The sequence below is a fragment of the Homo sapiens genome, chromosome 5 (assembly GCF_000001405.40).
Source record: "Homo sapiens chromosome 5, GRCh38.p14 Primary Assembly".
NCBI classification, from domain to species: Eukaryota; Metazoa; Chordata; class Mammalia; order Primates; family Hominidae; genus Homo; species Homo sapiens.
The window spans coordinates 31,446,000-31,462,219 of NC_000005.10; the positions used below are offsets into that span (position 1 = coordinate 31,446,000).

Sequence of the window (16,220 nt, forward strand, 5' to 3'; positions counted from 1 at the left end):
TTATTTCAAAAATAACAAAATCCTAAGGAATCCACTAAAAGACTATTAGACCTAATGAACAGGAGCAACAAGGTTGGAGGTCATAAAACCAATACACAAAAATTGACTGTATTTCCAAACACTTGCAATGAACAACCTGAAAATGAAATTCAGAAAATAATTCCAGGCCGGGCGTGGTGGCTCACGCCTGTAATCCCAGCACTTTGGGAGGCCAAGGCGGGCGGATCACAAGGTCAGGACATCAAGACCACCCTGGTTAACACAGTGAGACCCTGTCTCTACTAAAAATACAAAAAAATTAGCCGGGTGTGGTGGCGGGCGCCTGTAGTCCCAGCTACTCGGTAGGCTGAGGCGGGAGAATGGCGTGAACCCGGGAGGTAGAGTTTGCAGTGAGCCGAGATCGTACCACTGCACTCCAGCCTGGGCGACAGAGCGAGACTCTGTCTCAAAAAAAAAAAAAAAAAAAAGATTCCATTTATAACAGCACAAAAAAGAATAACATACTTCAGAATAAATTTTGCAAAAGATGTGTAAAATGTATACTCTGAAAACTATAAAACATTATTGAAAAAATTTAAAAAGACAGATAAATGGAAAGACATCCAAGTTTATGAATCAGAAAACTTAAGATTAAGATGGTAAGCCTGGGCAACATAGCAAGAGCCCTGTCTCTATTTAAAAAAAAAAAAAAAAAAGGTTAAGATGGTAATCATCAACCTAAATGCCCTTCAGTGATAGACTACATAAAGAAAATGTGGGGCCAGGCACGGTGACTCAGGCCTGTAATCCCAGCACTTTGGGAGCCCAAGGCAGATGGATAACTTGAGGCCAGGAGTTGGAGACCAGCCTGGCCAACATGGCGAAACCTCGTCTCTACCAAAAATATAAAAATTAGCCAGGCATGCTGGCGCACACCTGTAATCCCAGCTACTCAGGTGTCTGAGGCGTGAGAATCGCTTGAACCCAGGAGGCGGAGGTTGCAGTGAGCTGAGATCATGCCACTGCACCGCAGCCTGGGCAGCAGAATGAGATACTGTCTCGAAAAAAAAAATGTGGTACTTACACACCATGGAATACTATGCAGCCATAAAAGCGAATGAGATCATGTCCTTTGCAGGGACATGGATAGAGCTGGAGGCCATTATCCTTAGCAAACTAACACAGGAACAGAAAACCAAATACCACAGGTTACATGGACACATAGAGGAGAACAACACACACTAGGGCCTTTCGGAAGGTGGAGAACAAAAGGAGGGAGAGGATAAGGAATAATAACTAATAGCTATTAGGCTTAATACTTGGGTGATAAAAAATCTGTACAACAAACCCCCATGACACAAGTTTACCTATGTAACAAACTGCACTTTAAATAAACATTTTTTAAAAAGATGGTAATGATTCCCAAATTGATCTACAGAATCAACATAATGCCTATCAAAATCCCCACTGACTTATTTGCAGAAATTGACAAGCTAATCCAAAAATTCGTGTGGAAATGCAATAAACTCAGAATAGCTAAAACTTCATCAAAAGTTTAGTACTGCAAAGGACGTCATCAAGAGAGAGAAAAGACAATTCACAGAATGAAAAAAATTTTTGCAAATCTGATAAGGAATTTGTATCTGAGAATATATTTAAAAACTACTATAACTCAATAATTTAGAATAACCCAATTAAAAATGGGAAAAGGATCTGAATAGATATTTCTCTGAAGAAGATGAACAAATAGTCAATAAGCACATGAAAAGATGCTCAATTTCATGAGCCCTGAGGGAAAGGCAAATCAAAACCATAATGAGATAATACTTCATATTCACTAGAATAGAAGGGCTAGAATAAAAAAGACAGACAATAACAAGTGTTGACAAAAATGTGAAGACATTGGATCCCTGCTATATTGCTGCTGGGAATATAAAATGGTACAGCCACTTCAGAAAACAGTCTGGCAGTTCCTTAAAAGGTTAAACAGAGTTACCATATGACCCAGCAATTCTACTCCTAAGTATATACCCAAGCAAAATCAAAATATATGTCCAAACAAAATCTGTACACAAATATTCAAAGCAGCATTATTCACCAGCCAAAAAGTGGAAACAATCCATGTGCCCATTAACTGATGAACAGATACATAAAATATGATATGCCCATATCATGGAATATTATTTAGCAATAAAAACAATGAAGTATTGACACATACTATACTATGGACAAATCCTGAAAACATGCTAAGTAAAAGAAGACAATCACAAAGAACTGATTTATATGATGCCTTTCATATAAAATGTTCAGAAGAGACAAATCCATAGAGGTTGAAAATAAATTGGTGGTTGCCTAGGATTGGGCAGGCTAAGGAACATGGGAAGAGATTACTAATGAGTACAGGGTTTCTCTTTGGGGTAATGTCAATGTTGCAAAATTAGATGATGGCCATGGATACACAATTTTGTGAACATACTAAAAACCACTGAATTGTATGCTTTAAATGAGTAAACTGTATAGTACGTGAATTATATATCAATCAGGTTGTTTATTAAAAATCAACTTTACCTCGAGGGAGTTGGGTCATCTTGGCCAAGGCGTGACATGATATTTATCAAGGTGTTAATCCCTATTTAAAATAAAAAACAAATACACAAGTAAATACGGATAGAAGAATTATAGGACCATCATATTACAGTAGAAAAAAATTATCTCATCTCAATGTGATTTTAAAAGGTTTGGAATCTACCTGTCTAAAAGTGTGATAAACAATTATTTAAAACACTGGATAGGAAAAAGAAATTTCTCTAAAAAACTCATCAACCCTTATTATAGTTCTTGCTCAAAGTAAGTATTATAAAAGAGTCTGTGGGGCCAGGCACAGTGGCTCAGGTCTGTAACTTCAGCACTTTGGGAGGCAGAGGCGGATAGATCACTTGAGGTCAGGAGTTCAAGACCAGCCTGGCCAACATGGCAAAACCCTGTCTCTAATAAAAATACAAAAAAACTAGCCAAGTATGGTGGCACATGCCTGTAATCCCAGCTATTTGGGAGGCTAACACAGGAGAATCACTTGAACCCAGGAGGCAAAGTTTGCAGTGAGCTGAGATCGTGCCACTGCACTCCAGCCTGGGTGACAGAGTGAGACCCTGTCTCAAAAAAAAAAAAAAAGAGTCAGTAAGCACTAGAATATGAGACGGTGAAAGAGTCACCCAGGGAACCATTCCTAGAGGCGAAATAATTTACAACAGAAAACACAGGCCAAAATAGGAGATTCACATCTTAAAATCATCCAGACATACCTTTCTTCCGCATGTGCATGTGATGAACTTTTCTGTCTCCGTATTTGGGCTGCCGAATTCCACAGTTAGATAATGAATTCCTGGCATGATCAGGATTCATTCCAAAATTTAAATGATGACTTGGATGAGTCATGGCCAGCTAAAATTTCAATGAAATAAGTTCAGTCTTTAAAACAGCATAAACTGGGTGCAGTGGCTCACGCCTGTAATCCTAAGGTGGAGGGACCACTTTAGCCCAGGAGATCAAGACTAGCCTGGGCAACACAGTGAGACGCCATCTCTACAAAAAATAAAAAATTAGGCTGGTGTGGTGGCACCTGACTGGAGTCCCAGCTACTCAAGAGGCTGAGGTGGGAGGATCACTTGAGCCCAGGAGGTCGAGGCTGCAGTGAGCTATGATCATGCCACTGCACTCTAGCCTGGATGACAGAGGGAGACCCTGTCTCAAAAAACAAAAACAAAACAAAAACTCAGCATGGGAGCACCATCTTTGTATCATCCCAAATTAAGCAGGAAAGGGAGCTGTCTATCCAGTTGAATTCTAAGCCCTGATCTTTCCATCTTATCTCCCCAAGTATCTGTAAACAGACAACCTTCAGAATGGCAGAAAATACTTGCATACTATATATCCAACAAAGGACTAATATCCAGAATCTACAAGGAACTAAAACAAATCAGCAAGAAAAAATAATAACAATAATAATCCCATTAAAAAGTGGGCAAATGACATGAACAAACATTTTTCAAAAGAAGATATACAAATGGCCAACAAACATGAAAGAATGTTCAACATCACTAATCATTAGGGAAATGCAAATTAAAACCACAAGGAGATACCACTTACCACTTTACCCCAGAGAGAATGGCCATTATTAAAAAATCAAAAAACAGCAGGTGTTGGTGTGATGCAGTGAAAAGGGAAGGCTTATAATACACTGAACTTTATATAAACTACATAAATTAGTATAACCTCTAGGAAAAACAGTATGGAGATTTCTCAAGAAACTAAAAGTGGATCTAACACTTGATTCGGTCCTCCCACTACTGTGTATCTACCCAAAGAAAAAGAAGTCATTATATCAAAAAGACACCTGCACTTCTATGCTTATTGCAGCACAATTCACAATTGCAAAGATATGGAATCAACCTAAGTGCCTATCAACGGATGAGTGGATAAAGAAAACGTGGTATACATATACCATGGAATACTACCCAGCAATAAAAAGAATGAAATAATGTATTTTGCAGCAACTCAGTTGGAACTACAGGCCATTATCCTAAGTTAATTAACTCAGAAACAGAAAACCAAATACCGCATATTCTCACTCACAAGTGGAAGCTAAGCTATGGGTACCCAGGGGCATACAGAGTGGTATAACGGACACTGGAGACTCAGATGGGGAGTGTTGGGAGGGGGGTGAGGGATGAAAAACTACCTATTAGGTGTAATGTACACTACTCAGGTGACAGGTAAGCCCAGACTTCACCACTATACAATTCATCCATGTAGTCAAAAACCACTTGTACCCCTAAATCTATTGAAAAAAATTTTAAAGTGGCCAAAACAAACAAAAAACGAATTTCCAGATCTCTGACGCAAGCCCTCTTCTGCAAACAAACATAAAAATCCACATCTTTAGGCTGGGCGTGGTGGCTCACACCTGTAATCCCAGCATTTTGGGAGGCCAAGGCAGGCACATCACCTGAGGTCAGAAGTTCGAGACCAGCCTGGCCAACATGGCAAAAGCCCGTCTCTACTAAAAATACCAAAATTAGCCAGGCATGGTGGCGGGCGCCTGTAATTCCAGCTACTCAGGAGCCTGAGGCAGGAGAATCGCTTGAACCCAGGAGGCGGAGGTTGCAGTGGGCCGAGATCACGCCATTGCACTCCAGCCTGGGAAACAAGAGCGAAACTCTGTACCAGAAAAGAAAAAAAAAATCTACATCTTTCAGAGAAGTTAGAATACTCAGCACCTGGAAAGGAGAGCCATAAAGGAGGAAAAGTCGGAATAAGGTACTCAGAGTTGACAAATTTTAGTTTTAGTCAATTTCTTTAGGGACGGTCTCACATAAATGTAAGAGAATGGGCTGGAAAGCAGCAGAGGCAACCAGGGTAGAGCAATGGAGAGAACTATGTTTCTAACAATCCTTGTCACATCCCAGGATAGAGAACCCAATGTACCATTTGTGACCTGCAAGATGAATTACTCCTATCTTGTTATTATGTGAGTTTACAGGAGAATAATTCTTACCTGCAACAGACAACGATCTTGGAAAGTATATCCTATCAACTTGTCCAAATGCATTAGGCATTGGTGGTAGCGGATATGATGGGTCAGAACAGGTAGCATCATTGCATGCTAGGAAAAAAAAAATTCAATATGTTTAACTTTATAAAAACTTATAAAGTCACTTCATTTATTTTACAACAAGCCAGAACCATTTTCACATTCCAAATTCCATCTCACTAAGTCCTGAAACAGCTTATTGGCTGCATGGCATTCTGGAGAATCCTCTGTGAGAGACTGTAGCTGTTAAGAGTATATAGTCTCTAGAATCAGAATGCCTGGGTCTAAATCCTGCTCTGCCACTCATTCACTGTGTGACCTGGGGCAAGTTATCTTACCTCTCTGCCTCAGTTTCCTCACCCGCACAATGAGAATAATAAATATACCTACTTCCGAGGATAGCTAAAAGGATTAAAAGAGGAAATACAAAAATCTTCTTAGAACAAGGCCTGTTAGCCCTCATTCCATTAGGAATAGCCCTGGTTCTATCAGTATTCAGCAGGGTAGCTTCGAGTAAGTCACATGCATTTCTGTGCCTCCTTGTCTATCTTTAATTAAAAGGGAATGGATTAGGATTCATTCATTCTGAAACTTTTTTAGGGTCAAGATATTTTTGGGAATCCAAGGAAAATGACTCTTTCCCCAGAAAAATGTCCCTGTGCACAAACATGCAAAAGTTGTACACAAGTTTAATGGGTTCACAAACCCCTAAAGCCCACGACTATCCTTGAAGAGCTTCTCAACCAGATATGCCACCCTAAGTTTGACATTTAATGATCTAACATTCTGAAGACAATTTTTATAAAGCCACCAGTATAGTTAAGGTACCCAAGGACACAGAATTTAAATTTTTCCTTCAATCCCTTTTCATTTGGCTATAAATTCCTTATTGGGAGATAATTTCATGGAAGTCATATCTTTTTCTTTTCCTTAATACTATTTCGCAAGAACACAAGAGAATGTAAGGAGTCATTCTTATTCATCAGAACCTGGAGGATGGACCCAGCCCACAGAATGATTGACATATGCTTTATATTATTTCAGTCTTTGAAGTGTTTTAAGCTGGTATTGTTTAAAAATACATGAAAATGGATTTGCTTGAAACTATAGAAATTAGTTATGTTATTAACTTATAAAGAAAGATTCATTCTACCAAATAGGATCTCTAATCAACAAAAAAATCTTTCTTGCCAGTTCAATTCAGTAAGTATATAATTGAGCACCTCCACGTGTAAGGCCTTACAATATGTGTGGAAGACAGAAAAGGTAAAGACATTGTTTTTGCCATTAAAGCTAGAAATATGCCATTAGGATTTGAATTATCGGCACTTTATCCACTTTGCTTTTATAAGTGCTGTGCTGATAAACACAACAATATGGAAACAACATGCACAACCAAAGTCTAATAGTTTTCCAGACATTTAAACTGCAGGAAGCTCAAGAGTTGATGCTAAAAACTCAAGGTGGATAGGACATGGGTTAGGACATGAAGACTATTCAGTGCAACTGCCTTTCTAAAGCATGAACTCAACCTGGTGAATTGTTTACTTTTTTAATATTTCCTATGAGAGATGAATCGCTGCCTGTCAGGAAAATAAAACCCTCTTTAGAGTTTGCTGATTATTAAAAAATTACCTTTATTTTTGAGACAGGGTCTCACTCTGTCACCCAGGCTAGAGTGCAGTGACACAATCACAACTCACTGCAGCCTCGACCTTCCAGGCTCAAGAGATCCTCCCACCTCAGCCACCAAACCCCAGTAGCTGGGACTACAGGCATGCAGCACCACACTCTGCTAATATCTGTGTTTTTTTGTAAAAATGAGGTTTCGCCATGTTGCCCAGGTTGGTCTTAAACTCCTGGGCTCAAGGGATCAGCCTGTCTCAGCCTCCCAAAGTGCTAAGATTACATAGGTGTGAGCCACTGCGCCAGGCCCGAAAATTACTATTAACTTTAAGCCCAAATCTGTATCTTTGGAAGTTTTATCCCTTTAATCCTAGTTCTACTCAGAAACAAAATGCATTTAATGGCAGGCTTTCCACATCTTGTTTTAGCTAACCTACACTTTACTTCCTTGCTTCCTTTAACCTTTTCTCATGTAAAACAGCTTTGAATCCCTTAACCACTTCCTCTAAACCTGCTCCAAACAAAGCCTGTTTCTCCTTCCAAATAACCCTTTCGTGAGTACCTTGGAAGGGTATAGATGACCCGTGTCCATCTTGAATCCCAGACATCAAGTCTCAATGTTACCTACAAGACTTTAAATTTCTAACTCAGTTTTTAAAAGTATCAATCTTTGCAATATAAAAATACAATCATCTTTATGTCTGGCATCTTTATGTCTGCCAACTGCTTTAATTAAAAAAAAAAAAAAACCCTCAAATTCTCCCATAAAAATAGAGCAACTAGACTAGCAAAATGAAAGACCAATGAATATTATCTACATAAAAACTAAATGACAAGGCACCCTCTTGAGTCCCTAAATAAGAGTGTATGAGGAGAAAGAGCTATGTCTCAGCATCTGTGTGAGAGAAGAGAGGCACAGGCCCTGATAATGGAAGAAACTCAAAATTAACAACACATGTTCACCGCAAATAACCCAAACTGGAGAGAGCTCTGCCGAATCTAATTCACTGAGTGAATACGGGAGGACAGTTTAACTATGCTTAAGACACCTGGGACCTACAAACACTGAAAACACAAAAAAACAAAAACTGAAGCTCCCTGCAAGGTAGAAGCCCTACAACCAGGAGAAAGTGTTGGGAGTGAAAGCCACATTTCGCAAGAGAGGGAAACGAAAGGCAAAAGAGAGGAGGCCCAGACAAAAGCAGAGGGGGCAGATTTTAGTGTGAAGCCATATTATTTCTTTTATCACTGCAAAAATAACAGGAGGAGGAGCTCCAGAACCATGAAAAACTATCCTGGCTTATACCTCCTTTCTAAAAGTACAGGAAACTATTTCATTTGGTTTATTTAATTTTTAAGTTTCTTAAACAGCAACAGAAAAGAATCACGATCAAATCCCATTCAAAGATTTTTCTAAGAAGAGGAGTAGAATAACATCCTTGCTGATAATAAAAACATTCCAGAGGCCCGGCACAGTGGTTCACACCTGTAATCCCAGCACTGTGGGAGGCCGAGACAGTTGGATCACGAGGTCAGGAGATCGAGATCATCCTGGCTAACATGGTGAGACCCCGTCTCTACTAAAAACACAAAAAATTAGCCGGGTGTGGTGATGGGCGCCTGTAGTCCCTGCTACTCGGGAGGCTGAGGCAGGAGAATGGCGTGAACCCAGGAGGCGGAGCTTGCAGTGAGCCGAGATCGTGCCACTGCACTCCAGCCTGGGCGACAGAGAGAGACTCTGTCTCAAAAAAAAAAAAAAAAAAAAAATTCCAGAGAAACATACCAATAACCTTCGAAATAAGAAAAGAAATTACTAAAACAATAGAAGGATTAACAAAAATTACAAATAAATATTACATAAATTCAGAAATGAGATTAGAGGAAAGGAAGATTTGAAAAGAAGTGACAAAACTCAGGAAAAAGAAACATAAAAGGAGATAAGCATTTCAAGATTAAACAAGAAGGAACACAAAATCATATCAGCCCAATGAATAGTGCTTTTGAAAAATAGAAATGAAGACTTCAAGAGAAAATGACAGATCCAGAAGAGAAGCAAAAAAGATATAAGATGCATATATCTTATAAGAAGATATAAGATGCAAGAAGTAATTACTACTTCTTGAATGAAGAATTCGAGAGAACATGATAGATCCAGAAGAGAAGCAAAGAAAATACAAGATGCATATAAGTGGAGTACTTTAAAAATCAAAATAATAGAAAATAATGAAACGTGTAATACAAGAAAAAGAAAATTTCCTGAGATAAAAGACAACTTGAAAGTATATACTGAAAGTATATACAGCATACCTGAAAAAATTAACTGAAAAGAGCTGAGACAAGAGCTGAGACATATTCTAGTAAACTATTGGTTTCTAAAGAAAAAGAAAAAATCCTTTGGGCACTCAGATAAAAGGACCAAGTCACTTAAACTCATATTGTTATCACACTTTTTTTTTTTTTTTTTGAGACGGGGTCTCACTCTGTTACCCAGTTTGGAGTGCAGTGGCACTATCTCGGCTCACTGCAACCTCCATCTCCCAGGCTCAAGTGATCCTCCCACCTCAGCCTCCCAAGTAGCTGGGACCACAGGTGTGCACCACCACACCCAGCTAATTTTTTGTATTTTTTGTAGAGACAGGGTTTCGCCATGTTGCCCAGGCTGGTCTCGAACTCCTGAGCTCAGGTGATGCACTTGCCTTGGCCTCCCAAAGTGCTGGGATTACAGTTGTGAGTACCTGTACCTGACCATATTGTTATACTTTTGACAGCAATGTTTTATGCCAGAAAACAATGAGAATGTATTTAAAATATTAAAGAAAGAAAATGGGATCCACAGATTTTATATCCAGCCAAACTGACCGTTAAAACAAAGGCCACAGGCAAACTGTGAGGAACATGCAGAAACTCAAGGACCACTGTTTCTATAAGCCCTTCTTGAGGAATGTTTTAGAAAATGAGCTTCAGACAAACAAAAAAGGGGAGGTGGGAGATTGATAATGACATGATCTGATGATTACTTGCAAATATATTTTTATTGGTAGATAATCACAAGTGAGTCAATATAAGAAATAATTAAACATTCTAACATTGATTAGTACAACCATCAGAAAACAAGGGGAGAATAAGAAATACATAAAGAGTAGGATGAGGTTGCTGTCTGCCTTATTAACTTGCAACAAAAGGATATCACTTCAAATTAGGTGCCAGGTGAGAGAGAGGATTATGGGAAGAAGCAGAGAGAAGCTATTTTTACTAAAAGACAACAAGATACACACACACACACACACACACACACACACAGACACACACACACAGAGAGAGGAAGAGAAGTAAGGGAGAAATGTAATTATACTATAAAGTTGTCAGTATAAAGGTAATCATTAGAATAAAAATACAAGCCTTCCCGAATACAAAGGATATGAAGAGGAAAAAACAAAGCCAATATAATGGATTTCATAGTAACCACTAACATAAAACTGTTTGACAGACAGAAAGCCAAACATATCAATAAGCTCTATATATTACTACAGAGTGATCTCCCAGACACATGGTTTTGTTGTTGTTGTGGTTTGGTTTTGTTTTTTAGAGACAGGGTTTCACTCTGTCGCCCATGCTGGAGTACAGTAGTACAATCATAGCTCACTGCAGCCCCAAACTCCTGGGCTCAAGTGATCCTTCCACATCAGCCTCCTTAGTGGCTAGGACAACAGGTGTGCACCACCACACCTGGCTAAGTTTGCAATCCTCCTGCCTTGACCTTCCAAAGCACTGGAATTTAAGGTCTGAGCCATCACACCTGGTCCAGACACATTGTTAAGTGAACAAAATCTCAGTAGAGAAAAGTGTAAGATACCACCATTCATACAAGAAAGAGGAAAACAAAGAAAAACACATATATATTTGCTTTCATAAAAATAGGAAATTAAGCCTTTTTTTTTTTTTTTTTTTTTATGGAGTCTTACTCTGTTTCCCAGGCTGGAGTTCAGTGGCGTGATCTCGGCTCATTGCAACCTCTGCCTCTTGGGTTCAAGCTATTCTCCTGCCTCAGCCTCCCAGGTAGCTGGGACTACAGGCACACACCACCACTCCCGGCTAATTTTTTGTATTTTTAGTAGAGACAGCGTTTCACCATGTTGGCCAGGCTGGTCTCGAACTACTGACCTCAGGTGATCTGCCCACCTCGGCCTCCCAAAATGCTGGGATTACAGGCGTGAGCCACTGCGTGCGTAGCCAGGTCAAGCCATTTTTAAAAGATAGTTACCTGTCCGGGGTGGGTGGCAAGAAAAGGATACAAGCAACAGAGATAGAAGTTAGACTTAAAAAAAGTACACTTGACCCTGTAAATCTGATTGCAGAGTCATGTAAACATTTTACATAATTATAAAACAATCTTTCATTTTTAAAAGGAACCTAGGCCAGGCACAGTGGCTCATGTCTGTAATCCCAGCACTCTGGGTGGCCGAGGCAAGAGGATCACTTGAACCTAGGAGTTTGAGACGAGCCTGGGCAACAAAACTAGACCCCATCTCTACAAAAAATTGAAAAATTAGCCAGGCATGGTGGCACATGCCTGTGGTCCCAGCTACTTGGGAGGCTGAGGTGGGAGGATGTGTTGGGCCTAGAAGTTCAAGGCTGTAGTGAGCCATGATCGCAGTGTCACTGTACTCCAGCCTAGGTGACACAGCAAGACCCTGACTCAATCAATCTGTCAGTCAGTCAATGGAACTCTTAAAATCAAAAGTAAAATGAAACAAATGAATTCTGTGTATCCAGTTTGTGGCATAACCACGGGATACAGAAAATTGAGTGTAAATCCCCAGTGAGATACAGCTATAGATAATCAAAGACAAAAATGAACACAGACAGTCCCCAACTTACAATGGTAAGACTTACGATTTTTTGACTTTACAATGACATGTAAACAATATTAATTCAGTATGCTTCTTGACTGATGATATGCTGTGTCCCAATAAACCTATCATAAACTGAAAATTCAACTTATGATCTTATGATATTTTCAACCTACTCTGGGTTTACGGGTTTACTGGGATGTAACCCCATTGTAAGTCAAAGACCATCTGTACTCCCAAACAAACAAGCAACTATTTTCCATCACCATATTGGTGGTGGTGCTGTTAAATTGCTAATCTGGGACTACTTGTTGTATGTTATGGAATAAATCAAATGAGTAATTTTTGGTGCTGTCCCACAGGATCTTCATCTCAGGGTAATCAAATAGTTGATGAGGAAAAGATCCTTTTCCAAAAGTATTTTAAGTAATAAATGAAGAAAGACAGAATTTGAATATCATTTTGGCAGACCCTGGGTCTACATAACGATCCATCAGTGACCAATAATGTCACGTACAAATAAAGAGAGTCCTCACCACCAGCTATGAAAATATCTTGCAAAAAAACTGAACTTAAATCTGGTCAGTGCTATTCAACAGAACACTCTATGATGATGGAAATATCCTATTATCTGTGCTGTTGTAATGGGCAGTAGCCACATGTGTCTACTGAGCACTCAAAGTGTGGTGAGGGCAACTGAGAGGCAGAATTTTTAATTTCATTTAATTAATTTAAATTTAAATAGCCACATGCAACCAGTGATACTGGGCAGTGCAGTTTTAGATCTAACTACCAATTTATAGGAAACACAAGGGGCAGAAGTACCTGGTAAATGACACCAGAAAGTTGCAATCAGCAAAACTCAGACTACACTGTAGGAACTCTACAGGACACATAATCCAATTTCTTCAACAACAAATGTTTGCAAGGGAAAAAAAGGAGAAATGGAGTGAGAACCTACAGATTAAAGAGACTTAAACAACATCAACTAATCACAATGTATAGATTTCACATGGATCCAAATTCAAACAGACTAAAATAAATTTAACAGACAATGAGAAAAATGTAAACATTGACTAGGTATTTGATGATATTACAGAAATGCTTCTGAAAACAGTTGAAGCTAAGTGATAGTTCAGAGTTCATTATACTTTTCTCTTGCATCTTGTATGTTTTAAATTATTCCTAATAAAATATAATACTAGCCAGATGAGGTGACATGCACCTGTAGTTCCAGCTATAGGAGGCTGAAGCAGGAGGGTTGCTTAAGCCCAGGAGTCCAATGCAAAAAGGCCAGAGTGCACTATTATTGCACCTGCAAATAGCCACTGGATTCCAGCCTGGGCAACACAGCAAGACTCCCATGTCTTAAAAAAAAAAAAAAAAAAAAAATCTCTCTCAGGTCAGTTAGCCTTTAAACAAATCTTTCCTTTCTTCACAAGCAGCACTACGCTCCAATTAAAAAATCAAGTATCTCATACAGACTAAAAATCAAAATTCCTTTGTTAACAATAACTATGAAGCCATTGCCCTCCCAGACATTCCTCCTTCCCCCGCTACAAGATCTAATTTAGAAAATACATCCTTCAACTTGCTGTCCAAAGTCTCTGAATCTCTAGAGATGTTACTTTTCACTGTTGAGTCATTCCTTGACAAATCATTGAGCAAGAGAATCAGATAGTTTGATAATGCATGGCAGCCTTCCATCCCATTCCAGATGGCCACTCTAGGAAGACAGCATATTCATTAATTAGTCCAAATACAGCTCTCTGTCCACTCAATACAAATACCAACCACCACAACTCAGCTTTCCTCAAAGGCCAACAGTTCTCCAGGCACCTGTGCTTCCTTTTTTTTTCCTTAAGAAGTTACAATGTCTCCGCATTTGGCATGAGTCTCCTACTGGTGATGCGACTGTGATGGTGCAAATTCTTTGCTCCTTTTTTCATGTCTTCTGAGTCAGTTTATTGATTTCCATGGACCACCTTCTCAGTATAGCATAGGGTCCAGGTGCCTCCCTCTACAGAAGATACCAATTTAACCTCAGTGTGTGAAACCCTATTCTTAAAAAATACAGGTCTTACTGCAGCATGTTGCTTTTCTTCCTCTTCTGAGTCATTATGCTGAATTTTTTAGACTCAGATTCAGGTTTTGATTCCTTTTTCTTCCATATTACCCAGAATTCACTCTAACAAGCAGCAACACAGAAAAAATTCTTCAACAATTTATCTACAAACATAGTGACAGGTCCACATTCGGTTCACATATAATTACAAGTTATAGCACCCACCCCTAGGTTTTCAATCCTCTTAACATTGGCTGGGGCACCAGGTAGAATTTTCTAATCTCCTAACAATCCTTGGTAGCTTCTCTGGTTGGGGAAAATGTACTTCCAGAGGGAGATGCTGGTACTGAGGTCACTCCATCTCAGATTTAACGCAATGGTTTCGTCTCCTGCAGAAACCAGATAGCATCTCAAGGCTTTCACTAGCAACCTACTAGCAATTATTACTAAAAAACAGTAGGTTCTATATCAATGAACTACCAAACACAGAGGAAAAACTACCAAGGATTTTAAATAAATCCTTTCTTGTAAAAATTATGAGCCTATCTGTTCAAAGACTTTGAATAATCATAAAATTATTCAAAGTATTCAGTGTATAAATTCACTTAACTGCTATTTCCCAGTCAATTAGATTTTTATTCTTCATTACCAAAAATACTAAATGCTTTTATTTTGGAGGTTTTAAACTGCATTATGATATGCCACCAGCTTATGTGAGGAAAACACAAAAGAAAACATTTATTCTAATATAAGAAATTAAATATCATTGTAAGCCACAGCCAATTCTACTGGCAAAAAACAACAACAAAAACACTGTTGGTCCCTTTCTCAAAAAATTACAGGTTTTATTAAACATTCATTAAAATCTTTATGTTAAGAACAAAGTAAAGGCCAAATAAACAATAAAAAATGTTAGCATATACGACTTGTGACTAGACAAACCTGCACTGGACTAAACATTTATTAAGGACGTAAAAAGACTACCCTATCCTAAAAATACGACCAAAACAGCTTCCAAAATATATTCATAGATGTTTGGTCATTAATGCTACATGATAAAACATTTTATCTGATTTCTTTACAACAAAACTAGAGGGAATGGCTTTGCTGCCACTGAAGGAATTTCAAGGTTAAAAAAATTCAAACAAAATATATGGCAAACATCGATAATTTAAGGGCAACTGTTCAGAACCTTTGTGTGATGCATGTAAAATACCTGAGAATTTTAAAACATAAAAATTCCAGGAAGAGCTAACGTATCAACTGTGGCAAAAACTCTTAGTTAAAATGTACCCAGAAGTTCTCTACTTGTCAAAGATTTTCTGTAAGATGTATCTGTAGAAAGGAAGACTTTCTGACCATTAATATGCAATAGGACAGACTAAGAGAAAGCTCAGTGAGAAGAGTCAAGGGAGTTTCAAATGACTAGCCCATGGCTTGCATAGTCAGTGGTTTATTTATTCCCACATTCATAAAAACAGTTACCACTTCAAACAGTTACCAGTTCCAGTTCATTCTGGAACAAGGAAAGGTATACATAAACATAATGAAAATATTTGTTGCAAAAATACTTATTTTGAGCCCAAAGTCAACTACACTAGTTTACTTTTGCCGTTTTCCCCTAAATCATATTCCCCTAAACCTTACTGTAAGGTTTTTTTTTTTTTTAAGTTTGAACTAGGTTGCTCCCGTGTCATGAATGAGTTGATGAACACCTCCAAATTTCCATATGTTGATGTTTTAAGTTCAATGAAGGTTAACAATTTACTTTCACAACCCCAAGAATATTCACTGATGGTGAAATAATATTTAATATGTCAAAATAAACAGATACTTCATCTGTTCATCTAACCTTGACAGCTAAATAATGCATCCAGGATAATTTGATTTTGGTGTGTAAGGTACTATTTCACCAAAGTACAGGGTTTTTTGGTTTTAATAGTTCACTCTCAGCCCCCATGTTGCCACTGTGTAAGTGGCATTTCCTTCTCTTCCGCTTCTATGGACTTCTCAGGTAGCTTGCTGGCTCATTTTCATTCATTTATATGCAGACATTTCTTTACAAACCATAAAGCAATTCCTTCTGTATTCAGTATATGAACTCATAGGC

The 16,220-nt window shown here is 38.5% G+C and overlaps 1 protein-coding gene across 3 annotated transcripts in view, besides 1 other annotated feature; it reads right to left on the bottom strand.

The window, feature by feature from the left end:
* Positions 1-16,220, bottom strand: part of DROSHA (drosha ribonuclease III) — a 131,600-nt gene that overhangs the window by 45,506 nt on the left and 69,874 nt on the right. For all 3 annotated transcript variants that reach the window (NM_013235.5, NM_001100412.2, NM_001382508.1), the window contains 3 exons: positions 5,534-5,641; positions 3,282-3,420; positions 2,548-2,608 (listed from right to left, as the gene is read on the bottom strand). In NM_013235.5, the coding sequence (NP_037367.3) occupies positions 2,548-2,608; positions 3,282-3,420; positions 5,534-5,641 (308 nt within the window). The remainder of the gene's footprint in view (positions 1-2,547; positions 2,609-3,281; positions 3,421-5,533; positions 5,642-16,220) is intronic.
* Positions 6,862-7,406: an enhancer, noted in NCBI's record as "NANOG-H3K27ac hESC enhancer chr5:31452968-31453512 (GRCh37/hg19 assembly coordinates)". NCBI's record gives its function as "activates a minimal SCP1, AML or CMV promoter by ChIP-STARR-seq in primed H9 embryonic stem cells {active_cell/tissue: H9 hESC(primed)}" and the evidence as "EXISTENCE:reporter gene assay evidence [ECO:0000049][PMID:30033119]".